Genomic DNA, 27,849 nt, shown 5'->3' with positions numbered 1-27,849 from the left:
TTTTTTCTTTTTTCTTTTTCTTTTTTTTTTTTTTTTTTTTTGAGATGGAGTTTCACTCTGTCCTCCAGGCTGGAGTGCAATGGCATGATCTCGACTCACTACAACCTCCACCTCCCAAGTAGCTGGGATTACAGGCATGCGCCACCACACCCAGCTAATTTTTGTATTTTTAGTAGGGAGACGGGGTTTCACCATGTTGGCCAGGCTGGTCTCAAACTCCTGACCTCAAGTGATCCACCCACCTGGGCCTCCCAAAGTGCTGGGATTATAGGCGTGAGCCACCATGCCTGGCCAACATTGTCCTTTAAACCTCTAAAAAATATTTATTAAACCCTAAACGTGGGCTCATTAGCTCCTATATCTAGGTTTTTCCCAAAGGAAAACAAACAAACTGTGATTTTGAATGGGAAAAAAAGGATTAGATATCAGACAACACCTTCATAGGAAAACTTCCAGGGCAACCAGCTTCACATACTTGAGAAAAATCTTTCCATAAACATCCTTCTGGGTGAGACATAAGTCATGGGGCATGGGTCTTCCTGGGGCCTATGGAGGTGTTGTATCTAAATCTTGCCCTACTGACTTTCAATCCTGCCTTTTTGTAAAGATATTTACCTGGTGTTTTTCCCCCTCTGTATCAGGGCCTAAAACACAAGGAAATCTTAACCTAAGATAAACAAAATGTTTGACGAGAATCCATAGATAACATTTACTAAAGCATCAGAATGTAAAGAACTATCCAGACCCTGCAGTACCCAGGGTGATATTTTGTCCCACGGGGAAGGCATGTGTGTACACACACATACTTGATTATATTTGAAGTCTGTTATTTTGTGTTTTGTTGTTGTGTTGAGCCTAAAATAAATGGCCAGGAATGGGATGGTGGAGCTTTAAATGCAGTTGAAAGGAACATGGCAGGGAGGATGCATCACCACCAGGCTGGTTTAGGAGCACAATTTTCTAAAGACAAGGGAGGGAGTAGATGACCTTTCTGGATCCCTCCAGTCTGAAGATTTTATGATTCCATGCACGTCCTCTGTCTAGACATGAAATGTGGATGCTTCTGCTTTTATTGCTACAGCACGGGTGAAAAGCATAACTGCTCCACCTACAGTCTGATCCTAGAAACTGCTCAGCCTCAGCCAGGAAAAACAACAAAACAAAACAAACAGAACAGGGGAGGAAAAAGCCCACCGGAAAGATGCAATTTCAGAGTCCATAACAGTGAATATTCCCCAAGAATCTAGACTTACTTTTCATCTAGCCTTTCAAAGTGACTATAATTTTAATAACAGTGTCTTATAGAGTTATCAATAATTATTCATTCAAATATTTAATGTCTAATAGGAAATGCCACTCCATGAGAAAAGGAGGAGACAGAAAATTTGGCCTTTCCTTTGTCACGTGGGGAACAAAGACTGGAAGAGGATGTTAGCTGTGCAGTTAACATAGTGACCACCAAGATCAGGCGCTCTGACTACCATAAGATATAGATCAGAAGATTTCTCTACTTCCAGGAATTACCCAACCTTGCAGTGCTGTGCTGTCTTCAACTTTTACACCTCACATTCTTTCTCCGTCACTCACAGCCCCTCTGCTCACTCTTCTGTGTCCCAAGACACCTGAACACACCTTGTCTCTTCTGGCCTCCTGACATTTCTCACCTTTGTCCTCATTATCATCTTCCTCCCATTTCTATAACCTTCCAAGTTTCTATGAGGTAGCCCCTTTGTTCCTTCTCAGACATACCAAAAATCTGCCCTGAATGCTCTTCTCTCAGATGCCATGTGGCCTGTTCCTCCTCTTCATTCAAGTCTCTGCTCAGATGTTAGCTTCTGAGAGGGCTTCCTAGACCACCTTATCTGAAACGGCACCCCATGAGTTCTTCCTTCATTATTTCTAAAGATCAGTTAGATCTGTATTTTAGACCTGTACTTATCTTGAAATGTAATATGTATATACTAAACAGTGTGCAAAGCACAAAAGTCCTCCTCAACCTGCTGGGTCTCCTCCACTTGGCCATCAACAATGTGGACGTCTTACTTGCCTGACCCAACCTGATGGCTTTAGGACTGAATGACTGAGAAAGGAAAACAGGAAGATGAAGAGAGAAAACACTTCCATGCTGCTTTAAGTCCCCATTCTTAGTCCTAAGTTCTAAGGCTGGGCCCTTACAGAGGCCTTTCCGTATCTAAAAACACCCAATTTCTTTTTTCTTTCTTTTTTGTTTTGTTTTGAGACGGAGTTTTGCTCTTGTTGCCAAGGCTGGAGTGCAATGATGTGATCTCAGCTCACTGCAACCTCTGCCTCCCGGGTTCAAGCGATTCTTCTGCCTCAGCCTCCCGAGTAGCTGGGATTACAGGCATGTGCCATCAAGCCCAGCTAATTTTGTATTTTTAGTAGAGATGGGTTTCTCCATGTTGGTCAGGCTAGTCTTGAACTCCTGACCTCAGGTTATCCACTCGCCTCGGCCTCCCAAAGTGCTGGGATTATAGGCATGAGCCACTGCGTCTGGCCCCAATTTCTAATTGCTACTCAAGTAGCTGGAAGCCTGGCACCCCTAAGGGAATGGGAACTTCCCATGCTAGCTCCTCACTCAGAAGTCTGATAAACAGATTCCTTAATTTCCTGTAGGATGGGACTTAGAACAATGGAATTTTGTAAGGATTATCCATAACTATCCAGTGAAATCCTTGATGATTTCACACTCATCAAGGGGTTACTTTTTACAACTCCAGCACTGCAACAGAGTTTACAATTGAAGTTGCCCTGGATGATATCATTAGCACAGTTCCTTTAGGGGGAATGGGAACACCTGCTTTAGTGTTTTGTCCTTCTCTTAACCTTCTCAACAGAGTTATTATTCCAGCCTATTCATAGGAGTAATTCAACTTCTCTCTTTGAACTTGTTTCTTCCTCTGCAAGTAAAAGGTCAAACTCATGATCCTTGATATCCTAGATAGGTCTAACCTTTTGTGATTCCATAAAATGTTCTTGAAGAGTTAATATGTTAGTTCTTCACCCCTACCTATAAATGAATTATACAGGCTTCAACCTAGGGAAAGAGGTTTAGAGTACTGAGAGTTGAACAGATTTTGAAGATCCTCATCACCTGAGGGAAGTAAAATATGAAATAGGGCTTTAGTTACCAGGGTTAGAATGAATAAAAACAGTGGCAACCACAGCTTTGCAAATATTATTTCAGTTCATCTTTACATTATAGGAGTGTACCCCAGTGCATAATCACAGGCTGTGAAATGAAACAGACCTGAGTTTGAGACCCGAGTTCAAATTCTGATTTTGCCAAATTCTAATTTGCTCTGTAATTTGGGGCAAATTACCTTAACCTTTCCAGTCTCAGGTGTATTCATCTGTAATGTAAAGAATTTGCCCATGTTTTTTGGGGGAAGATTAAATGAAACAATGCATGTAAACGTCTCTGCAAAATACATTACATGAAACAGGTATTCAATAATGGCAGCTATTTACAATATTGGAAATGCTTAATCCCTAAACATAAGAACAAGTATCTGAACCCATGTTAATTTTATGCCATATTTCTTTCTGCTAAACAGTGCTCCCCCAATACACCTTGCCTACTACGTAATTTTCTCTTGACAAGGAAGGCTCAACAGAATTTATAGGTTCAAGCTCCCCAGTTTCATAGAAATTTACCTTCATATCCCTAGCTCATTTTCAGAGTCTCACTCCTTCCCAATCATTGACATAACTTTAACATGCAAAACTCAGTAAATTTGGGAGGCTCAATTTTCTGCCGGCAGAATTAAACTTTGAGGTGGCTTTCAGAAATCTCGGCATTACAACTATAGGAGTTCAGGGTTTATTATAGGGCAGTAATAGAAGCTTTGGAGTTCCTTAATGGGACCCTAATCTGAGAATTTAGTCATAAGCTCATCATTTTCTTTGTCCAAGTTCCTCAGGACACTTAGAAGCAATCAACGAAACTTACCATACACCTTATTTCCACTAAAACAGTCTATGCAGCAAACACCTGTTCTTCTCAAGCCTTGCCTTCTATTGGCACATGATTACAAGTATCTATAGGTGATAGTTTAAGTAACTGTTTTGCTGTTTTTGTGCACATGGTGGACTTCCAATACCCCCTTTACCATTGCAAACAAGATCATTGACTTAAAATGTAATCATATAAGAAAACCAATTGCAGATAACACAGGACCAACAGAGAACACATTTGTAAGTTTCTAATCGCTGGAACCACTTTCAGTGCCAAATTCTTTATCGGTGTTCCATCAGTGAAAGAGATCTGACCACAGGCAACTGTGGAGGCTACTTACATGGTCTACGTGAGATGACTTTTCCTCTGTCTGGTGTTGGAATCAGGAGTCTGAAGAGCAGGATGTCAGGAAGGAAAGATAATGATTGTGAGGTGGGGGAGGCAAGAACAAACCAGAACTTGGAAGGTTGAGCAGGACAACTCAGGATGGTAGACTGGCCCGCTGGTCATTCTTTCACCATCTCCAAGCCTCAACTTTGAGGTGGCGTTGTCCTGCATCAGAGGTTGCAGCCCTTCATCATGAAGTTAAACACATATCAGGCCTGGAATTTGGAGAAGCTGAAGGAGGATCAGAAAGGAGCTGCAGCTGCTGCCTCAGGCCAATGAAGTGACAACACTTGGGTGGATTGCAAGTGTTTTTGTGGACCGCTCCGTCTTCCCAAGCATAGAAAGATGGCTACTGCTCCACTTCCACCTTCTAAATCTTAGTCTCGTGTAGCCTGTATACCCCCATCCCATTGTAGCCATGCTAACCTGTAACTATGCATAAAAGTAATTCTGGGAAACAGAGCTCTGGCTCAGGTAAGGTAACACAATACAAGCCCACCATACCACTAGTCAAAGAAGAAATCCCATCAGAAATAAAAAATGCTTTGAACTAATAATGAAAACATAACAAAATTTGTGGGATACAGCTGCAGCAGTCCTTATAGGAAATGCTGTGGCTTTAAATGTTTACATTTATAAAGAAAAAAATAAATGATCTGAGCTTCCATCTTAAGAAGCTAGGGGAAAAAAGGGCAACTTAAATACACAATAAGTAGAAAGAAAGATACAGGAGCAGAAATTAGTGAAATTGAGGCTGGGCGCAGTGGCTCACGCCTGTAATCCCAGCACTTTCAAGGCCGAGGCAAACAGATCGCCTGAAGTCAGGAGTTCGAGACCCACCTGGCCAATAAATATGGTGAAACCCCGTCTCTACTAAAAATACAAAAATTAGGTGGGCATGGTGGTGCGTGCCTGTAATCCCAGCTATTCAGGAAGCTGAAGTGGGAGAAATCACTTGAACCTGGGAGGCGGAGGTTTCAGTGAGCCAAGATAGCGCCCCTGCACTCCAGCCTGGGCGACAGAGTGAGACTCCATCTCAAAAAAAAAAAAATGAAGAAAATATGAAATTGAAGACAAGCAATAGAGAAAAATCAACAGAGCCACAAGTTGGTGTCTTAGTCTGCTTGTACTGCTAAAACAAAACAGCTGAGACTGGGTTATTTATAAACAACAGAAATTTATTCCTCACAGTTCTGAAGGCTGGGTAGTCCAAGATCAAGGCACCAGCTGGTTGGGTGTCTAGCAAGGGCCCAGTACCTACTTCCAAGATGGCACCTTGAATGCTGTATCCCCTGGGGATGGGGTTGAGGGATGAACACTGTGCCTTCATGTGGCAGAAGGAACAGGAAAACTGGAGTGTCAGCTCTCTATAGCTTCTTTTATAAGGACATTAATCTCATTTACAAGGGCGGAGCTCTCATGATCTAATCACTTCCTAAATGTCACATCTCTTAATACTATCACATTGGCAATTAAGTTTTAACATACTAATTTTGTGGGACACATTCAGCCCATAGCAATTGGTTCTTTAAAAGATTAATATTGGGCTGGGCGCAGTGGCTCACGCCTGTAATCCCAGCACTTTGGGAGGCTGAGGTGGGAGAATTGCTTGAGTCCTGGAGTTCAAGACCAACCCTGGCAACATAGTGAGAACTCATCTCTACAAAACAAACAAACAAACAAAAATAGCTGGGTGTGCTGGCACGTGCCTGTAGTCCCAGCTATTTGGGAGGCTGAGGAGGGAGGATTGTTTGAGCCCGGGAGGTTGAGGCTGTAATGAGCTGTGGTCAAACCACTGTACTCCAGCCTGGATGACAGAGTGAGACCCTGTCTCAAAAAAAAAAAAAAAAAAAAAAAAAAAAAAAAAAATCAATAAAATTAATTTCATCTCAGACTAATCAAGAAAAAGAGCAAACACAAATCATCAATATCAGGAATTAGATAGGAAATATAACTACTGATCCTATAGGCATTAAAAGGGAAATAGGGAATGTTACAACTTTATGGCAAAAAAATTTTATTACTTAAATGTAGTAAACAATTTCTTGAAAAATAATGTATCAGAATTGAGAAAGGAAGAGAGGAAAACATGAAGTCTTTATCTTCTAAGAAATGAACTCATTATCAAAAACCTTGTCACAAAGGAAATTCCAGGCTTGCTTTGGGATTGGCAAAGATTTCTTAGGTTGGACAGAAAATGCAATAGTTATGAAAGATAAAAATTGATAAAGTGGTCTGAATAAAAATTAAACATTTTTTCCTTATCAAAAGATAGTAAGGAAATGAAAAGACAAGCTAAATTGGAGTAAATATTGGTAATACATACATCTAACAAAGAATTTTTGTCAATATATACAAAATCTTATAAGTCAATAACACCAAAACAACCTAATTTTTAAAATGGCCAAAGATTTAAACAGATACTTTACAAAAGATATAAAAAGTTTGAAAAAGAAAAAAAAAAAAAGCAGGAGAAAAGGTGCTTAACATCATTAGTCACAGGAAAATGCAAATTAAGCCACAGTGGGACACTACCTCACACCCACTAGAATGGTTACAAATAAGGACTGACGATACTAAGTGTTAGTGAACATGCGGGAAAAATGGAATTCTCATCATTGGGAGCAGGAGGGTAAAATGGTACAACCCTTTGGAAAATAGTTTCACAGTGTTTTATAAAATTAAACGTATACATATATATCTCTTCCCTATGACCCAGCAAATCTAATAGATATTTACCAACGAGAAATAACAACATATAGCCACACAAAGACTTGTATACAAATGTTTGTAGCAACTTTATTCATAATAATCCCACGCTGGAAATAACACAAATATTCATCAGCAAATACATAAACCAACTGTGGTATATTACAATGAAATACTATTCAGCAATGAAAACAAAAAGCTACAGACACAGGCAACAGCAAATATCTCTAAACATGTTAAGCTAAAGAAACTAAACACAAGAGTATATACTATCTGATTTAATTTATATGAAATTCTAAATCAGGGAAGAAAACTAACCTTCCAGTAACAGAAGGTGGATCAGTGGTGACCTAGGGCTGGGGAGAATGACTGCAAACGGAGAGGAAATTTATTCTGGTAAGAAAATGTTCTTTACTTTGATTGGGGGTGGTGGTTACATGGGTGTACACGTTCATCAAAGATCATTGAACTCTACAGTAAAAATGGCTACACTTAATTATAGTAAATTATAATTTCATTAAGTTGATCAGAAAGAAAAAACGTCCCAATGAAGCGACAGACAAAAGTCACCACACCAGTGTCTGTCTTAATATTTGAATATGCACTAAATTTCTAGGTTTCTATTTGTTTCATACCACATGTCAGGGGGGCAAGTTTACATCTAAATAAATGGCTTAATGAGTTAAATTATAATAGAGGAAGATATTTTTATATATATATACTTTTTTATTTTTAGAGATAGGGTCTTGCTCTGTCACCCAGCGTGGAGTGCAGTAGTGCAATTATAGCTCATTGCAGCCTAAAAGAGGAAGATATAACAAAATTATTCAAGAAATGAATAAAAGCCTATGGTATGAGTGCTTTCCAACTGAGTGATTAACTTTTGATATGCTATTTTGTCTTTGTTTGAATCGTGAGTTGTGAAGTGTTTAGAAAAATCTGTCAAGTACACAAGTCTGCTTTTTTGGTAGTTGGATCAAAATATTAAATCTCTTATCAAATGTTTAAGAAAATGTGATTAATAAAATATGTAAATGGTATTAAATGTTCAGGATAATTGGAATTTACAAATTGTTAAAGAAATGGGAATGTAATTTCTCATTTTTATCAAATTTACTGTTCTTATATCTTCAAGTTGAGCTTAGAGATTTAAAAATGCTGTATTTTAAATGTATTTTAATAAAGCAAATATTAAAACAAGTATTTATAAGTATTTTTCTTCCCATACCAAAAGCCTGCTTTGACAGTAAAGCTTGTTGACACATGGTTCAAACACTTCCTTCCTGCCTTTAAAAAATTTATTCTGCTTTTCAAGGAAGGTATGTTTCTATTTTATCTACAAACCTTGTAGACTGGCCTTATGGTTTTAGCAATATAAAAACACACAAAGTGATGCATTTTTTAAATGAAATTATTTAACAACACAATGTATTTTACCACTCTTACAAAGATAACTTACAGTAAATAATGTTAACGATGTTAGTTTTACTTATACGATTTTTCTGTGTACCCTCTATCTCTACTTCACCTCAATGTCTTTCACCCTCCAATTTTAAGGTGAAAATATCTAGGCTTCTGCCCTCTGCAACTGATTTCTATTGAGGGCCTATGGAGGTAAAATGACAATAATCATTGAATCTAGAAAGAAAAAGCATCAAGCACAATTTACATGAACAATAGTTTCAGTTGACATTTAACTGAATGCTTCTAACTTATTTAATCTTATTAGATAGGCAGTGTTTTAATCAATTTACAGATGGAGAAACCAGGGATGGTGCAACTTGCAAGTGGCAGAGCCCTGTTTATCTCCAAAGTTCCTGTTCCTCTGAGATGAAGTTATAGATTAACCTAAGTTTGTCCTTTCTTGATGTAACCAACTAATATCTTTGAGGATCTTTTTTCTTTTACCCAGAGTGCTGTGTTAAGTGCTGAGTATACAGATTCATTCAACCCTCTAACCAGTCCTTGTAGTACTGATTCATCTGTGGTCAAAATCTGGGGTACTGGTGGGTTTTGTTTCCAAAGGGTTATGACTTTGAGTGACTAAAAAAAGATAGTTTATCCTTGATGTAGGGACCATCTTTGATTTCTCATTACTTCCCCTTTTGACCCCTCCAAAGCACTTAGCAAATGTCAGCTAATGAATAAATGATAAAAAAATGGTTGGCCAAAAAGACAGCATCAGAAGAGAATTTTTACCTAGTGCAGTGCTTAGCACCTATCAGGGATTTATTAAACATATATGGAAGAGAATGACATTTCTGCCATTTTATTAATAAATTCAACAAAGTATTTATTGAACTTTAACCATGGCTTGGGCATTTGTTAAGGATGAGTGGTTTAATACAATGATGATTCAGACACGGTCTCTACTTCCAAGGAATCTGGCATCTCAAATAGGTAAGACACACATAAAAGTAATAGGTGATAGCAGTAAGTGCTGAAATAAGACTGTCATTCAAGTGTTGTGAATTTGAAGAAGTTGGGAAGATCAGGAATGCAAATTTCTTCCCCCTTGTCTTAGTCCATTTGTACTGCCTTAACAAAGTATCTTCAACTGGGTAATCTATAAATAATAGAAATTTATTTTCTTACAGCTCTGGAGGCTGGGAAGTCACGGTTAAGCACCAGTTGGTTTGGTGTCTGCTGAGTCCCCAGTTGCTGCTTTCAAGATGGTACCTTGTTGCTGGGTCCTCACGTTAGAAGGGACAGAAGGGGCTGGGCATGGTGGCTCACACCTATAATCCCAGCACTTTGGGAGGCCGAGGCAGGCAGATCATGAGGTCAGGAGATCAAGACCATCCTGGCTAACACGGTGAAACCCCATCTCTACTAAAAATATAAAAAATTAGCCGGGCGTGGTGGTGGCGGGCACCTGTAGTCCCAGCTACTCGGGAGGCTGAGGCAGGAGAATGGCGTGAACCCGGGAGGTGGAGCTTGCAGTGAACCAAGATCACGCCACTGCACTCCAGCCTGGGGCAACAGAGCAAGACTCCATCTCAAAAAAAAAAAAAAAAAAAGGGACAGGAGACAGAAGGGCTGAACAGCTGCCTCACACCTCTTTTTAAGTCATTAATCCCAGAGCCCTCATGACTTAATCACTTCCTCAAGGCCCCACCTCTACATACTATCTCACTGGCAAATACATTTCCACATTTGAATTTTGGAGGACACATTCAGACCACTGCACCCCTCAAGTTGGTTAGTGTCTTTGAATATCTTTTTTCATGCTGTGACAATCTCATGGTTTCAAACTTTTCTTCTATCTGTGTTAATCCCAAATATCTTTGTTCTCAGTCATCTCCCTAGTTTCCATCTTTCTCCCAGACCTCCTCTCTACATAAATAACCTGCATGCACTGTAAAATCCATGTATCAAAAAACTGAACTTGTGTAATTCTCTTCCAAATCTGTCCCCAGCTTCTAGAAGATGGGAGGAAAACATGATACAAGGGTATAAGGAAATTCACTCAGTACTGCAGAGACAGCATGGAAGACAAAGACTCAGTCTCTGTGTTTCTGAAAGGTCTTCTCGAACCATATCCACCCACTTCTCAATTTCTACCACAAAAGTAGAAAACGTAACCTTGATTTTCACTTTCTGTCCTGTAACTATAAAAGTCATCTGTAGAAGGTAATTTGGGTCCTCACTTCCATAAATATTCTCTGACTTCCTCTAATAGAAAGTAGGAGAATGTGGCAGTACTGTATATTACAATGTTAGGACTACTTAACATAACGCTGCTTTAAAAGACCAGAATTTGAGACGGGTGAAAGGGCAGGGGCAAGTTTGATTATTCCTAACATCTATGAGGAAGCCTCTGTCTTCCCCATAGGAAGCTGTCCTTTCTTCTCTATTAGTTATATAGGAATAAGAATCTAGAGGAAGCTTTAAACATTCATATTGGAGTTAAGAATTAAAGACACTGAGATGATTAGTGTGTGGATAACCTGAAATACTTTATGGCTCATTCACCATTTCAACATCAACAAGAGGAGAACACCACAAATACGGCAAACTGTCTAGCTGCTCAAGAAAATGGTGCCCCCTTCCTCCCAGGCACACAGCTGGACACATTTCCCAAAATCTCTCTAGGTGGGCCATGTGACGGAGTTCTGTCCAAAGGAACATGGGCGGAAGAGATATGCACCACTTCCAGGCCTGACCCAGAAACATTTTCCACACAGACTTTTCCTTCTTTTCCTATGTGCTCTTTCAACAAAGAGGGCTCTATGGACTGAGAGAAAGGCAGAGCCCCAAGAGGAAGGAGCCTGGGTCGCAGAAAGACTAGGTGGAAAGCTGTCCACTGACCACAAACATCCACATGGGACATCATATGAGAGAGAAATAAACCTGGGAATAGTTACTTAACTTCTTTGGGTCCTAGTCTCTGGGCAAAGAGGAAAAGCTCAATAAATATCAGCTGACATTATATTAGGAAATAAAGTTTACTTCTCCTTAATTTCTTTTTCTTAGGCAAGGCGGAGCACCGGGGGTGAGTGGGATTGGTGAAAAGCACTAAATGACATTTGCCTATTACAAAATGCTAATTGGTACATTTAAATAAGATGACATTGTGACAATAACTCACAGATTAAAGACATTTTCTTCTGGATCCCAGACATTAGATTTTAAGACTGATTTCTTGCTAAAAACACTCAAATCTAGTTAAAATGTGAAATATAAACAGAATGTGGTACCCACTTCTTTCCCCCTGTGACACTGAGTGTCCGGGGATGTTCTAAAACACAATTAACAATCCACATCATTTCTGTGGCTTCAAATTGGCACAAAATCTGTACAAAGAATACTTTGTGCTGCTATAATACTCAACTGATACAGTTTAATTATGATCAACTTTTATTGATTTTACATAAATAGCTTATAGAATGCCTTTACAAACTATGTTTTTGCAATATATTTGTTACAACACACATTTCCTTATGAATGTATTTGTTAAATCTTTTTGCAGAGGAAGTAGGGAAAAGTGAGGGGAGAAGAGGAGGAATAAGATTTTAGAACTAATCGTCAGCAATGGGCCTAGGTATTTGGCAATTATTTCCTTTACAAAAAAATTACAGGTTTGTAACTTCAAACATCAAAAGTGTAGTGCATCAATTTAACTAAAAAATCAGTAGTGCCTAATATATTATCTGGGCATCAAATTTCTTTTTTTAAATATATCCAGATTCACATATTTTTACTCTTATTAAATAATGGTTTTAAATAATAATCATCACAATGTTTAGCTACATAATCCCAGATCTGGATTAAATCATGGTGATATCGATATTTTTAAATTCCAATTTATTTGTTAATCAGTAAAATGTAATAGGTGATAGTGTGTCCAGAGAATGAGCCTCCTATGTGTAGGAAGACGATAGTCTTATTACACCTGCTATCAATTAGGTCATTTACATAGCTGCTAATGTATCAGAATTTTTTTCCACACTGATGTAGTACTTTATTCAAGTCAAAACAAGTTATCATTATCATACCAACGTTGAAGAATTAACCATTCCTGAAACAAGAAACAATCTTTACATTAGTATTTCTTGGTTATGGTGCTTAGTCTTGGTATTATTAAGCACAATGATTCTTAATAAACATGGGTGGATGAAGGCAAATGCATATAGCCTAGTCCCCTCAATAATTTATTCTCCATCTTATTTAAAATTGTTGTTGAGGCTATACAAACTACAGATCTGCTGCTAGAAAGATACAAGTTGTCCCCCGAACAACATCTGGCATTTTAAGCATAAGATTAAAGTCCTGGTGTTCACAGCATCTTCTTCTGACCTACCACTAGGATCATTCCTCAGCAGTGCCCACGATGCTGATTTCCAAATGATACCATTTACTATGTATCTTGACTGTATGGATATTATTTTTTCCTTATTAAAAAAAAGAAATACGATGATATTTCCTTCTTTGTCCTTACTTAAGAATAACTGGGCAATAATCTATTCAGTCTTTGTAAACTCTCCATTGAATAATTTTTCATTCTTACAGCCATTTCCTGAATGGCTGCTGCGCTTTCCCTCTGTCATCTCCTTCACATAACTGAGCGGTCCCTTCCCCTCAAAGGATGAAGGATTTTTGAATGAGCCGCCAATCCTATCCCACAAAGTGAAATATTGTCCATAATTATAGTCAAAGAACATATGGTGGTCTGTATGATGAGCTGAGCCATTAATAAATGGCTGTAAGATTTGGGGGACACGAAAATCACCGTCATGAATGGAAATTGTCCAGATATTAACCAAGATGTACAGACTTAAATAAACCACCTTGTGTAATGGAAAGATAAAAGGGTATATATGGTAAGGTAGACTCTGAAGAAAGCCATCAATAGGGTGAAAAGCATGACTTGCAAATGGAGTAGGAATCTTCCAAATATGGTGAGGTTTATGTAGGCGCTGCAGGAGAAAAGGACACAATTAGCACTGCAAACTTTACCCCGTGCAACATTCAACTTAGCTTCTCACACTCATGTTGGAAACAACCTAACAAATCCTGTAGAGATCAGCAAAATTATTTATTCTATAAAATGTCCTTCTTCGCCCTAAAACAGTATAATTTTATATGGATTTATGAGTACAAGTGCAGTGGTGTTCCATGGATATACTGCACAGTGGTGAAGTCTGGCTTTTAGTGTACCTAGCACCTGAAGAGTGCACATTGTACCCAATAGGGAGCGTCTCATCCCTCACTCCTCTCCCATCCTCCCACCTTCTGGAGTCTCTAATGTCTATTGTTCCCTCTGTAAGTCCATGTGTACCTGTTACCGGAACAGACGAATTTTAAGACAGCCCCTTAGACCCATAAAGAAGAATATGAACAAAATGCACCCTGTACCTGTTATGATTATGGCTACTTAGACATTTAATATGGGTAGAGGAAATTCTTGGAAATAGAGAACAGAATTTATAATCATACATTGCTGAAATGTGTAACCTTTTTTCTCTTTTCACCACAAATGACTTTACCTTATATACCAGTCTATGATGAAGGCCTCTGTGAATCCAGTAGATGAACATGTCAGTGAAAAAGAGGAAAGATATTATACTAACGACAAGTTCAAACAATCCTAGAAAAGAAAACGGGAAACAGAAGAATCAAAACTCAGCTCCTGGGATTAGAGTTCACTTTTCACATGTCCATCTGAGTGCAAAATGGGATCCTAGACTCAAACATTATAAATGATCTGTTCTGGCTAATTCAGTATATTATAAACTAATCTCTCTTGGCTTCTTGGAATCTGGTCATTTCCTCATTTCCCTCGCATAAGTACTTGAAATGTTCTACCTAAAGTACTTCTTAATTAAACTATAAAGATATTTGTGAGACAGGATACTCCTAAGACATCTTTATTATTTAAATCTCTGGGAATCATCACTTCCTTCATATTAATCTTCCTAAAACCCATCTTTACACATTATCTCCCTGCTTAAAATATACTTTCCACTAAATACTTTAAATTTAGCATTTATTCCATACTCCACCCCTTTCGGATCTTTCCAACCTCATCACTCCTGTATTTCTACTCTAACCAGGCAGGTTTACTCAATGTCCTCCCACTGTCTTGGAAGTTTTACCTCTGTATCTTTCATCATAGGGGTTCAAGAACCTAAAATGTCCTCTCTCCCTTTATTTTAACTCATAATCATATCCATTTTTCAAAGCCCAGCCAATTCATTACTCTAGTATATAATTTTTTGTTCCTTCTTCTGAATAACTGACTTTTTTTTTCTTTTTTTTTTTTGAGACGGAGTCTCGCTCTGTCGCCCAGGCTGGAGTGCAGTGGCGCAATCTCTGCCTCCCAGGTTCAAGGGATTCTCCTGCCTCACCCTCCTGAGTAGCTGGGACTACAGGTGTGCACCACCACACCCCGCTAATTTTTTGTATTTTAGTAGAGATGGGGTTTCACCATGTTGGCCAGGATGGTCTCATACTCCTGACCTCGTGATCCTCCTACCTCGGTCTCCCAAAGTGCTGGGATTACAGGATTGAGCCACCGCGCCCGGCAATAACTAACTTCTTACTTAAAGTGTGGGGGTGCTGGTGCCTGCAAGCCTGAGTCCAAGTCTCAGATCTACCACCAACTCGTTACTGAAACTCTCTGTACACCTCATTGACTCACCTATAAAAGGAGCACAGTGATAGTACCTATCTCATAGAATTGTAGGAAAACAATGGACTGATTCTTGTGAAGAGCTGAGAACTGTCACTGACACATATCAGCCTTCAATAAATACTATGATTCTTGCTTTTTACATACTAGATCCTAGAAATGTATCTTGAAAAAGTTTCAGAATTTCACAAAAGTTTACTCACTACAGGGCTGTTTATAATACAAAAAAGAGTAACAATCTGAAGGTCTAACAATTAGGTATCATTTACATAACTTATGAATATCCGCACAGTACTATGACTAATATATTACATAATCTCAAGATTTTTTTGACATGAAAATACAACCATGTAAGTTGCTAAGAGAAACAAAATTCAGAGCCCAAACCACTATGCACCTCAGGACTTCATTTGTGTAATGTAAACAATGAAGTATACAGGCACAGAAAAGTGGGTGGTTGTATGCCAGAAGAGTTACAGTTTCTAAGAAGCAGAATAATGCATTTTAAAAATCTGTTTTTAACTTTCAGCAATGACATAAGCTACTCAAGTTTTTTTTAGAAGGTTGAATTCAATAATTAATAGAAAACAAATGCAAGGACCCATCTCTGATCACTCCAATCTTCCGCCAGACACAATCTCATCTACAGCAGACTTTCAGATTGATAGAAAAACTAAAGAAATGCACATGTGGCAAGACATGAACACATGAAAATAGAACATTAAAAAACAACTGAATAATTTGTAATTATTTTAAAAGATGAAAAAAAAAAGGGCAGACTTGTTTTTTTAAGGAAACTAACCTGTGCTTAGACTACTCTCTTCCTGACACTCGTGTTATTTACTTACCATATGGAAACTCTCCTAGGTCATCATGTAATTTGCTGTAACCTCTTATCTCCAGCAAGAACAGTGCAACAGTAAGAATACTTATCCATGGCAATGCCTGGACAGTAAACTTAATCTCTCGACGGACTTGATTCTGAAAGTGAAATTTCCAATACTTAAAAATCACAAAATCCATGTTAAACAAAACTAGCATAAAACTGTTCTGGACTGGATTTTTAAAATCTCTTTTACATGAAGGGGCTTACCTCCAAACTGTTTCTATTAAAATTTTAAATACATAAAAATAGGTATGTAAGAAAATCATTCCTTTTGTACTGAGAAAATGCAATAAGTATTTCAAATTCTGAAACCTTTTTTCCTTCCTCCAAAATCTGCATTCTAAACTTCTATTTATGGAATAACCATTTCTTTCCTAATTAACTTCCATCCCCAATCCTCTCTATTTTTTCTTTTTGCTGTTCAGTCCTTGGAGTCACTGACAAGTACAAACAACCGAAATTTAAAAATGATTGTAAACAACTTTAAAACTACTGAGTTTGAATCCCCTATCTAGCCAAAAAACAAAACATGGTAAAAAAACACATTTCAGTTTGTGAAAATCATATATTAAAATAATTACATAAATGTATGCATTTATTTACTCATCAATATCAGCATAAAAATGCTCCAATATGCATCTAGCAAGATACGATACTAGACTTATAGTTTTATTAAAAAGTTAGATTTGCTTAAACTAAGGGAAGGAGAGCAGGGATTAACCCTCATGAAAATATCTAACCCATTTGTGGTTGGTCTCCAAAATTTTATTTAATGGTTACATATAATCAGCTTAATCTAAAAATCTCAGAAATATATCATATTGTTATTTTTACTTTAATCGTTAGAAAATAGGTAAAAACATTTCTTACCTTTAAAAATTGTGGATGTTTCATTAATGCATGATCGAAGACAAAATAATAGCTCAGTGTTGCACAGAAGAAATAAAGGATGTAAGCACCAACATTTGTTACAATCAGAAGACTAATAGCTTGTCGGAAGATGTCATCTTCTGGCCATGTGGCTGGATACACGTATGGTGTAAAAAAATAGTAATCTGCAACACGGAGTACAAGATCCATCACTTAGCCCCTAAAAAATAAGCATGTGTGACAATTAGTTACCATGTCTCTATTTTTCCAGGCAAAAATTTTTCAGAAACACTATATCTCAAGTTCCTGATTTAAGAACAGTCATATGCAGTACATCTGCTGCTATCAGAATCCCCTACATGCCATCTTTAGAGCCAGAAGGGATCTTAGATATCATCTCTAGTCCAATCTCTTCATACTATGTATGGGGATGCTAAAGCTCAGTTAGAGAAACTGAGGCCCAGGAAAGGTCATCAAGCTGCTAAGTGGCACAAGCCCAGATGGAATTCCATTTCAGTGTCATTCCCTACCGCGTCCTATGGCAGCATGGCAAGTGGTAAAGATGGGAATGCAGGGGACTAGGTACTCAGACAAATAGTTTCCTCTTTCAGCTACAAGTTTCAGCTCATCTCTCTCCTTCAAGGATTCATACTTCAGAGATTTTTGCTTCAGCACTGACACCTAAGATAAATTCCCTAAAAGATATCCATGCTGCCACCACAACCATAGAATTGGGACTATCTGTTCTTCTGACACTCCCATTGACAGAACAAAGGAAGATGTATTCTTGGTGTTAAGAACTGGAATACATTTATTTCTCTACCTCTAATCAATATTCCAGATCGGGAGTTGGTAAATTGCAGCCCACGGGCCAAACTCAGAGCCTGCTTTGTAAAAATCTTTATGGAACACAGCGACACCCAGATGTTTACATACTGTCTGTGGCTGCTTTTCTGCTACAAAGGTGGGCTTATAGTATCACTGCAACAGAGACAGTATGGCCCGTTGAACCGAAGGCATTTACTACCTGGCCATTTACAGATAGTTTGCCAACTCCTGTTTCAGATGCTTAAACTCTAAAAAACATTAGTCAGTTCAGTACATATTTAAGTCCATTCTATACTCATGGTCCTGTTACAATACAGTTCGGTGATATTGTGGTCAGCTTTTGTGATCTGACTATGGAATCTATCATTTATGATCGACTCACTCATCCCTCATTGCATTGTTCGCACAAGAAAACGTGTTCAGCATCTAAAATGTCTCTCACTTGAACTGAAATTTTTGAACAAGAAGCCAATCTGCAAATTGCCTACCCACAATAGATTTCAGGTGTTCAAACGGCCTTTATCTCCTACATATTGGGCCACGTTAATAAACATCAATTCATGAAACAAAATAGCCCACAGGTAAGGAAAATTCTGAAAATACTTATTTACTTCTTTGTAGCCTATTTCCTTCACTAGATTCCCTATGAGATTTCTCCACTAAATTCCCACAGGGATTTAAGAAAATGAGAAACTGACAGGAAAAGACATACAATGCAAAGCCTTGCTTCCATCCATGTCACTGTAAACCACACCGTCATTTCATTTCCACCTCTCTGGGTGACCATATCTATTAGTTTCCTGAGAATCCTTACGGTGTTTGTTAATGTAAGATGGAATGATGACAAATTTTTCTCTCCCTCCTTACAAAACATGGCATACTATATACACCATGAAGTTCCTTTTTCTTAATTGAATATATATCTTGGAGATCTTTCCATCCCTACATAAATATCATGCTCCTCCTTTTTTTGTTTTTAAAGAAACAGGTTTATTGAGATATAATTCACATACCATAAAATTCACTAAAGTATATGATTGACTAGTTTTTTAGCATTCTCAGAGCTATGCAATCATTACCACTATCAAGTTTCAGAACATTTTCAGCACCCCAAAAATAAACCCCAACCCTATACTGTTGAACTTCTAGGATGTGTAAAGTTTTTCATCAAATTTGGTGAGTCTGGGGCCACTCTTTCTTAAACTTTCTATGACTTTCTCTCTTCTCCTTTTAGGACTCTCATTATGCTTATGTGGAAATGCATGACAGTGTCCCCAAGTCTCTGTTTGTATTTCTTCATTTTCTTTCTCTTCCCAGCTGTTTAATCTCAATTGACCTATCTTCCAGTTCTGTGCTCTGTTGGCTCAAATCTGCTGTTAAGCAAGACAGTTTCAGTCACTGTACTTTTCAACACCTGCGTTTCCATTTGGTTCTTTAAAAAAAAAAAAAAAAAACTTTTATCACTTTATTGATATTCTCTACTTGGGAAGAAACTGTTCTAATACTTCCTTTTAGTTAGTTAAACGTGGTGTTCCTTAGTTCTTTTATATTTGTAGTAGCTGATTTAGAGTCTTTGCCTTGTAAGTCCAACATCTGGGCTTTCTGAGAGAGAGTTTCTACTGACTGATTGCCTTTTTGTGTGTACAGGCCATACTTTCCTGTTTGTGTTTTTTAATTTTTTATGGAAAATGGGATATTTTAAGTAATATGATGGGGTAACTCTTGAAATCAGATTGTATGCACCACCGCCCACCCTGCCCCAGGGCTTTAAGTTGCTTTTGTTGTTGCTGTGCGTTAAGTAATTCTCTGAACTAATTACATACCTGTTTTATTTGTTGTGTGCAGCTACAAGTCTCTTACTAATGACTGGAGTGATTTTCTTAAGTGCTTTGAACCAGTTAAGTCCCCCAGCCTTTGCCAAGGTGCTGTGTTGGGCCATGCTTTCAATACTTTAGTTGTCACTCTAAAATTGACTGGCCTGAACTTACTGCTTGCGTAAACCCTCAAGGTCAGCCAAAGGGGAAATTAGGGCCTTCTCCCCTTTCTTGGGTATGTGCAACAGCCCTGCTCATGGGAATCATTCTAGATTCTCAGGAAAACAGAGCTTTTCAAAGCCCCCTAGGGATATCTCATTTCTCAGTATTCCCTTTTAAGTATTTTTGGTCAGGCTTTTGTTAGTGCCAGCTGATAATAGTGCCTCTAAGACCTGTTATGTGTAAATAATGACTCTCCTTGACAAAACACCCTGGGACAGGATGATATTGAACAAGCTCTAAGACAGGTCATATAAACACAAGCCTTGAGAATTGCCAGAGAGATCAAGTGGTGATGATTTTCTGGGTTGTGGCCTTTGGTGAGGCTGCAAACCTATTCTGTACCTTCCATCCAGGCTGCTGTTTTTCATAGTTACTGTGTTGTAAGGCTTAGTTTTCAAGGCTACCATGAAGTCAGCAAAAGGGAGATGGTAAAGGACGGAAAATGTCCAAAGCTCATTGTTCTTACTGAGATTCAACTACTTTTCTCAAATAAAGGCTGCTAAGATTATTGTAAAGCTTTAACTCATAAAGTTTTAATTCCTAGAGCTCTAAAAAAGCTGATTCTGACAACTTCTGTCAGTGTTTTGTTGCTTTTTATAAAGAAGAGATTTTCAGAGATTCTTACTCTGCTGTTTTGGAAGTCACCATCTCCTTTTTTATAATACAGGTCTACTACCATTCTTACTTAAAACATTTGGCATCAGATGTTATTTCGGAATTCAAAATTCCTATAAATACATTTTGCAAAGGTCAAAACTTCTCCCTGTCATTAAATAAATCAAATATTTGGGGGTTTTGGTTCTTTTTTATTATTTATTTATTCATTTAGAGACAAGGTCTTGCTCTGTCATTCAGGCTGGAGTGCAGTAGTGTAATCTCAGCTCACTGCAACCTCTGCCTCCCGGGCTCAAGTGATCCTTCTGACTCAGCCTCCTGAGGAGCTGGTACTACAGGTGGGCACCACCATGCCCAGTCAATTAAGAAAAAATTTTTTTGTATGGACAAGGGCTCATTATATTGCCCAGGCTGGTCTCAAACTCCTGGACTCAAGCAATCCACCCACCTCAGCCTCCCAAAGTGCTAGGATTACAGGCATGAGTCACCATGACCAGCTCATATCAAATATTTGTTTAGAAAATGTGAATATTCACATTAAGTGGGATAAGTACATACTGTAAATGGTATTATAATTCATTTGTATATTAACAATTTATGTAATTATGTATGGAGTAACAAATGACAAATGGAAAATAGACTGGTACAGACAATAAACAATGTATTCTCTTTTTAAAAGAAAAATTCAGTAAACTTTCAAATATATATAAAATCAAAGTTAAATACTTGTGCATGTATATGTATACATACACGCAATAAATGTTCATTACATCTGATTGCTTGAGAATCTTAAAGAGAAGGGCCTATCAGGTTGGAATTAGACATTGGTCATGGGCCAGGATCAGGATTCTCAAGTGATAAAGCAACAATATCCAAGATAACCTTTTCAAAAGATTTCTACCAATGTCATCTGTCTTATTAATATATTTCTGCTTAAGCAATGATTATTTACATAATGCCTTCAGTGATCTTCCCATCTGTGTTCACAATATAGTCATCATTTAATCATTCATGTAGTTATTACTATCTTCCCGCTATTGTCAGGCCTCTGAGCCCAAGTCTGCACGTATACATCCAGATGGCCTGAAGCAACTGAAGAATTACAAAAGAAGTGAAAATGGCCGGTTCCTGCCTTAACTGATGACATTACCTTGTAACATTCCTTCTCCTGGCTCAGAAGCTCCCCTACTGAGCACCTTGTGACCCGCAAGAGAACAACTCCCTTTGACTATAATTTTCCACTACCTACTCAAATCCTTCAAAACTGCCCCACCCCTAACTCCTTTTGCTGACTCTCTTTTCGGACTCAGCCTGACTGCATCCAGGTGATTAAAAAAGCTTTATTGCTCACACAAAGGCTGTTTGGTGGTCTCTTCACATGGACGTGCGTGACAATTATGTGCATTTAGAAACCTTTCAGCAATGTCCCCATCACCCAAAAAGTGCCGAACAGAAGCATCAGGATTAATGTTCAGCATTTCTTCAACATCAGCTTCTCCTGACGTATTTATGGTTTGGGCCATTAAATGTATGGTATAATTAAAGAGATTAGGTATCATCACCTCATTAGTGATAGAAAATCTTCCAAAATATCTACAGGTTCATTTTCAAACCTCATTGTCAGCTAAAATGTTAAACATTTATTATTGCTGATTTATCAACATCATTTCAAGCATTAAGTAATTTTGACAACAGGATCTTTACAACTGAACTCTTAAAGGAAGTTTTGATTCCTAGGCCTCCCTTAACTGTGCAAGCAATATACTTGCTTTTTCCCAGAGTGTAGCACTCCTTGGAGAAAAAGATTGTATTCTGGTCAGGCATGGTGGCTCATGACTGTAATACCAGCGCTTTGGGAGGCAGGCTTATTCCTTGAGCTCAGAGGTTGGAGAACAGCCTGGGCAATATACTGAAATCCCATCTCTACAAAATATACAAAAATTAGCCGGGCGTGGTGCACAGCCCTGTGGTCCCAGCTACCCTCAGGAGGCTAAGGTGGGAGGATTGCTTAAGGAGTTCAAGGCTACCGTGAGCCATATTCGTGCCACTGAACTCCAGCCTGGGCAACAGAGCAAGACCCAAAGAAAAAGGCTGTATTCTGGTCACAGTGAAGTAAAAGTAAATGATTAAAAACTATAACCTACAGTTGAGGAGAATGCATAAAAGAGCTGTCTAGAAAGTAAATTTTCAATTAACTCTTGTCATACTTTTAGATATTTTTCACCACACTGCTTCCTAAGTTTCTGAATTCTTCCTTGTTAATACTAAATACATCCTTCAGTAGCAGGTCTTCATATATGCCAGCTTTTTCCATCATCAACAAAGCAATGAGTGGCATCTGTTTACTTCCTATTGTGAAATCCACTTAACCGAAACATGGTTAGAATCTTCATTTTCAGTCCTCTGCAATGTCTCCCTATTTTTCATCAATTCTTAGTCCTTACTACCACTATAAAACGTCCACGATCTGTTTTTCTATTCTTTAAGTCACATGTGGTGGTAGTTCCCACACTGCCACGTTAAACCCAAATTAACAAAACAATAAAAAACACCAGGAATACCTGGTAGGTGTGCCAAGACACAATGGGCACCTCGGTCAGATGGAGTGAGAATTTGTCATCAAATGATTTTGAGAGCCGAACTTAAAGCAAAAAGAAAACAACTTTTTGGTTTTACAGGGCTTTCCAGAGTTCCAAATTGTGACTAGGGACTATGGACCTGTGTCCATTTCTGTGAGTTCAACTGAATTATGTCTAATTCACTGTTATATAGGTGTTTACTTAACACATATCTAGATATTTGGATAGGTTCCATTTTTTGCTATTACAAATAATGCTACAATGACAGGCCCTCATTAGGCAGATTTCTAAAAGAAGAGCTGAGCGAAAGAGTTATACACTCATAACTTTGGTAGATATTGCTACATCGCTCTCCATAAGAGTTTAACTACTTTGTAGTCCTCAAACGATGTAGGACAGTACCTTACCTATTTCTCTGCAATCTTACTAGCAGGGGATATCATCAAACTTTCACATATTCATCAAGAAAGAAGGGCTATCTCGGGTATACTTAATTTGCATTTACCTTATTATGAGTAAAGTTGAGCATCATTCCATATATTTAGAATAATTTATATTTTTTTCTGTGTTTATCTGTTTTTATCCTTTGCCCGTTTTCCCACTGAGTTTTTAGTATCTTTATAAAAGTCAAATTCTAGAAGCTCCTTATATATTAGGGAGTTTGGCCCTTTGTTTATGATATGAATTATGAACATTTCCTCACTTTGTCAGGAAAAGAAAAATTTAATTAGCACCAAATGCCAGATATTAACATATATTCCTCATCATACATGCCATTGTTAATTCATTCAAATAAGAACTTATTGTTAAGCACCACACTAGGTAATGAGCATACAAACATTAAACAGACACAGTCTAAATCAGTCTTAAAGGTAGGGCAACTACAAAAACAATTCTAGCAATAGGACACGTGCTGCAATACAGATATATATGCAAATTCTATGAGATCAGAAAAGACAACACAACTACCTCAGCTTATGGTAAAAGGCTTCCTAGTGAATATGATATTAGATTTGGACTTTGAAGGACATCACCAGAAAGAAAAGGTTAGGGATAGCCATTCCAAAGAGAAGTCACAACTGCAAAGCAAGAGAAGAGCATGATGCATTCATGGCTCACTGCGTGTGGTTGGTGGGTGTTAGACAGGGTGATGGGGTGGAGCAGAGGGAAAAACATGTTAGGGGATGGACTTGTAAAGGAGATTTGTTAGACTACGCATGGAGGGATCTGCTGTCCTGCTGAGGAATTTGGACTTTCTCTCACACGCTATGAGGAGACACTAAAGATTTCTAGGTAGGAAAAAGATACAATCAGACCCACATTTCATAAAAACCATTCCATTAGAAATCTGGACTACTAGGCTAGGTGAAGTGGCTAATGCTTATTCCCAGCACTTTGGGAGGCTGAGGTAGGAGGACCGCTTGAAGCCAGGAGTTCGAGACCAGCCTGGGCAACACGGCAAGACTCCGTCACTATAAAAAAGGAAAGAAAAGAAATATGGGTTATCGGTGAGAAGCAGGGAGACTAGTTTGGTTGTTCCTGTGGTAGAATAACCCAGAGAAAATGATAGCCTGACCTCGGGCAGTGGCTGTTAAGACTAGCCAGCAGAGATTTCGCGCAAGTAAAAACACCCACAGGATTTGGATAACCCACGTTTGCTGGGAAGTGAAAGAGAGAGAAATCTAGGATGACTGTGAGACTTTAGCTGGTCTAAGTAGATGGTGATGTCATTGTAATTGAAATAGGGAATACTGGCAGAGCTAGCAGATTTGGGTAGGGTAGGAATAGGGGGTGGGTAAGGAATGATGGTGTGAACAGAAAATAAATCTTGGGACTCCAAAATCACTAAGCTAAGAGAAAAGTCAGGCTGGGAACTATGTTAGGCAAACCTGCCTCCCGCTTTATTCCTAAATAAGACAGCTACAAGGATGAGAAGCTACATCCCTCCCTCACAATTTGCCCTCAGAAAATTCCTTTGTGGATAAAGGACAGACAGGACTCAAAGTCATCCCTCTGAGGCTCACCTGACACAAATGGATTTCTGATTGCTTCCTCTGCCCTATTGTTTATGTAAACATGCAGATTCACTGAGCCAGACGAAATGTGTGCATTCAGTGGAAGGCTAATCAAGGACTCAAAATAATGCAACCTTTGTCTCTTATCTGCTTCTAACCTGGAAGCCCCCACTGTGAGTTGTCCCGCCTTACCAGACCCAACCAATGTACTTCTTACACATATTGATTGATGTCTCATGTCTCCCTAAAATGTATAAAAGCAAACTGTGTCCCCGACCACCTTGGGCACATATTGTCAGGGCTTCCTGAGGCTGTGTCACGGGTGAATCCTTAACCTTGGCAAAATAAACTTCCTAAATTGACTGAGACCTGTCTCAGATATCTGGGGTTCAAAACGGGTTCAATGTAGATCTTAAAACCTAATTATCTGTGGCTCATCTTCTATCTTAGATATAAGCAATAGGCCACATGTAAATATAAATGTGAAGTTCAAAAGCGAGCCTGGTTAGTATACAGGTAGTAGTTGAAGTTATAGGGGTGAAGACTGCCAAGGGAGGTGGTGTAGCAGGGACAGGGTACTACGTAATATCAGATAACATAAACATTTAATAATTGAAAAGGATATTGCTATATCACTAAAGGTTGGTAACAGCTGATGAGCCAATCTACATGTTCCCCACAGTGCCATGTGGCCCTACTTCAATACAATACCTAGAATAGTATCGTGCAACCAAAAAGAACACAAACATGTTTGATTGCTGTGAGGTTTAGAGACTAAGTAGACTTTTGACATTTGACCCAAGAAAGGTACTCAATAAAATAGCATCTATATGATTATCACTGTTAAGGCCGTCAAAAATGCGTCAAAATTACTTCAATAGAAGATAAAATAGGTGCCACTTGATTTTTGTTTGAAAAATAACTGACAGTAGTTGATAGTAATATTTAATATATACTAGGTAATATAAATATTTTAAATATATTAACTAATTTTCCCTTTCAAGAAGCCTCAAAGGTAGGTACTAGTATTATTTTATAGATGAAGAAGCTGGGCACAGAAATTTTAAGTAACTTGCATAGGGTCATAAGAGTAAATAAATGCTGGAGCTAGGATTCAAATACACACAATCTAGTTGCAAAGTACGTGAACTTCTGCCAAGTTCTATAGCCTCTTCACCACTACTTCAAGTCGTCAACTCCTGAATTTTTAAAAATGTTCAGTGCCTCTACAAGCTCATATAATTTTAAGGGGTTATAAGCCCTGAAGTTAGGGGTCCCAAGGACCCTAAATTAAGTACCACTGCTTCAAACAGAAACTTAAATACTTTGTCCTTGCAGAATTAAAGAAACTTCTTCTTAAAACTCAGTTATAATAACAATATTAGGCTTAGAACAACTCAGTCTACCATTATCTTTTTGCCCTACTTTAAAAGTATAGAAAATGATAGCTAATATTTATTGAGAACCAGGTATTATTTTTGTATAACCTCATCTAATCCCTATACCTCTATGAGATAGGTACTTCTATGCTCCCCACTTTATAGATAGGGAAACTGAGGTCAGAGTATTTAAATAACTTGTTCAGTAGCAAGCAACAATAACAGAAAAAACCAGCTGGGATGTACATTCCACAACCTTTCTCTTTGCTACCACGTTATGTTATCTCTCAAGATGTTTTATATGCAGATGAGGGATTCTGAGTACCACCCCATGCTAATTAATTACATTACATAACGAATGGAAAAGCACTCTGTAAATGATCAAGGATCAGTTATTATTTACTAGGTATCAATCATTAGAAACTTTAAAAAATGATAGTGATATAAAGACAAATAACTTCCAGAGGGTTTCCTCTAAAAGTACCGAGCTGCCACAAACTTTCCAGTTTGGAAACTCTATGTACTGAGGTCTTGTTTTCTTCACTTACACCACCTCCAAATCTACTCTGCTGTAACACAGGGATGTCAGTATACATTATTTTTCCTTTTATGATGCAAAAGGAACAGATTATTTCCCTTTTCCTTTCAGTCTCCTCAGCCCCAGATTGCTGTCCCTTCATTCTAATTACGCCGCAGCAACAGAGGCTTGCAATGGTCAGGAGTTCTGATACCGACCAGTTCTTCAGCCTGATTCTTCTGGCCTTTAAAAGAAAAAAACCCTCCCAGAACGAAGGGAAAAGTAAAGCATTCGTGTTCAGCAGCCAGACCAGAATTCCCTTGAGTAAGAGATCTGCAACACCCAACATCAAACACTGCATTTTCTTTAAGCCCGTCCACGGTCGGCTCCTTCAAGTCCAGGCCTCCCTATCGGCCCCGCGATCCCTCCCAGCGCGAGCGGAAGGCCCCTCCGCCCGGACTCCCAGGTGGCGCAGCCCTCCAGGCCCCGAGGTCCCCCGGCCCAGCCCTCGCCGCCAGTCTTCGGGATGCCAGGCTACCTGCCAGCCTCTCCTCTCACTCGGCGCAGGACTCGGATCCGTATGCTACCGCGATCCTACCATCCGCCCAACGCCTAGCACCCAGAGGGCACTCGCTAACCAACCGCGGCGCGGAGAAAAGCCGTGCTGCGAGGACACCTTCCGCCTCGCCCACCCGAGTCCCAGGCGCTGAAGTCTCTCCATCTTCTTTTATTCCATCGCCCCCCGGCCCAGCCCGCTCAGGTGTATTCCGCTTCCTTCCCCGCCCACCCACCGTCCCCACCTGGAGGTGGTCCGCCGCCGCTCCGCACGCCACTGCTCTGCAAACTGTCCTAGCAGCTGGGCAGCCAGCAAGCGGGCCGGGAGGCTGGAGCGGCCAGCCAATCAGCGACCGGCGCCAT

General features: G+C 38.9%; 1 protein-coding gene across 2 annotated transcripts, besides 3 other annotated features; it reads right to left on the bottom strand.

Moving 5' to 3' along the window:
• On the bottom strand, positions 7,138–27,777 carry SC5D (sterol-C5-desaturase). Of its 2 annotated transcripts, none has more exons than NM_006918.5 (5): positions 27,732–27,777; positions 16,963–17,182; positions 16,055–16,187; positions 14,062–14,162; positions 7,138–13,491 (listed from the first exon to the last, which is right to left on the bottom strand). In NM_006918.5, exons 2-5 carry the CDS (start codon positions 17,170–17,172, stop codon positions 13,036–13,038), a joined length of 900 nt encoding a protein of 299 aa, NP_008849.2. In that variant the 5' UTR covers positions 17,173–17,182; positions 27,732–27,777; the 3' UTR covers positions 7,138–13,035. The 2 variants fall into 2 exon arrangements, with proteins under 2 accessions (NP_008849.2, NP_001020127.1); NM_001024956.3 differs by lacking the exon at positions 27,732–27,777 and adding an exon at positions 27,470–27,696.
• Positions 24,188–24,730: an enhancer, noted in NCBI's record as "H3K27ac-H3K4me1 hESC enhancer chr11:121166527-121167069 (GRCh37/hg19 assembly coordinates)". NCBI's record gives its function as "activates a minimal SCP1, AML or CMV promoter by ChIP-STARR-seq in primed H9 embryonic stem cells {active_cell/tissue: H9 hESC(primed)}" and the evidence as "EXISTENCE:reporter gene assay evidence [ECO:0000049][PMID:30033119]".
• Positions 24,731–25,272: an enhancer, noted in NCBI's record as "H3K4me1 hESC enhancer chr11:121165985-121166526 (GRCh37/hg19 assembly coordinates)". NCBI's record gives its function as "activates a minimal SCP1, AML or CMV promoter by ChIP-STARR-seq in primed H9 embryonic stem cells {active_cell/tissue: H9 hESC(primed)}" and the evidence as "EXISTENCE:reporter gene assay evidence [ECO:0000049][PMID:30033119]".
• Positions 27,766–27,815: a silencer, noted in NCBI's record as "silent region_4000". NCBI's record gives its function as "represses an Ori minimal core promoter by ATAC-STARR-seq in GM12878 lymphoblastoid cells {active_cell/tissue: GM12878}" and the evidence as "EXISTENCE:reporter gene assay evidence [ECO:0000049][PMID:35858748]".

The sequence above is a fragment of the Homo sapiens genome, chromosome 11 (genome assembly GCF_000001405.40).
Source record: "Homo sapiens chromosome 11, GRCh38.p14 Primary Assembly".
Lineage (NCBI taxonomy): Eukaryota > Metazoa > Chordata > Mammalia > Primates > Hominidae > Homo > Homo sapiens.
The sequence above is the reverse complement of the archived record's forward strand: the minus strand, read 5'-3'. Positions and strand labels throughout refer to the sequence as shown.

Excerpts from the sequence above, each read along its gene's own strand:
- SC5D (NM_006918.5), bottom strand. The coding sequence starts at position 17,172 with ATGGATCTTGTACTCCGTGTTGCAGATTACTATTTTTTTACACCATAC. Across the intron at positions 16,188-16,962 it reads AACATCCACAATTTTTAAAG|AATCAAGTCCGTCGAGAGAT; the intron begins GTAAGAAATGTT and ends TTTCACTTTCAG. Across the intron at positions 13,492-14,061 it reads ATCATAGACTGGTATATAAG|CGCCTACATAAACCTCACCA; the intron begins GTAAAGTCATTT and ends TTTCTCCTGCAG.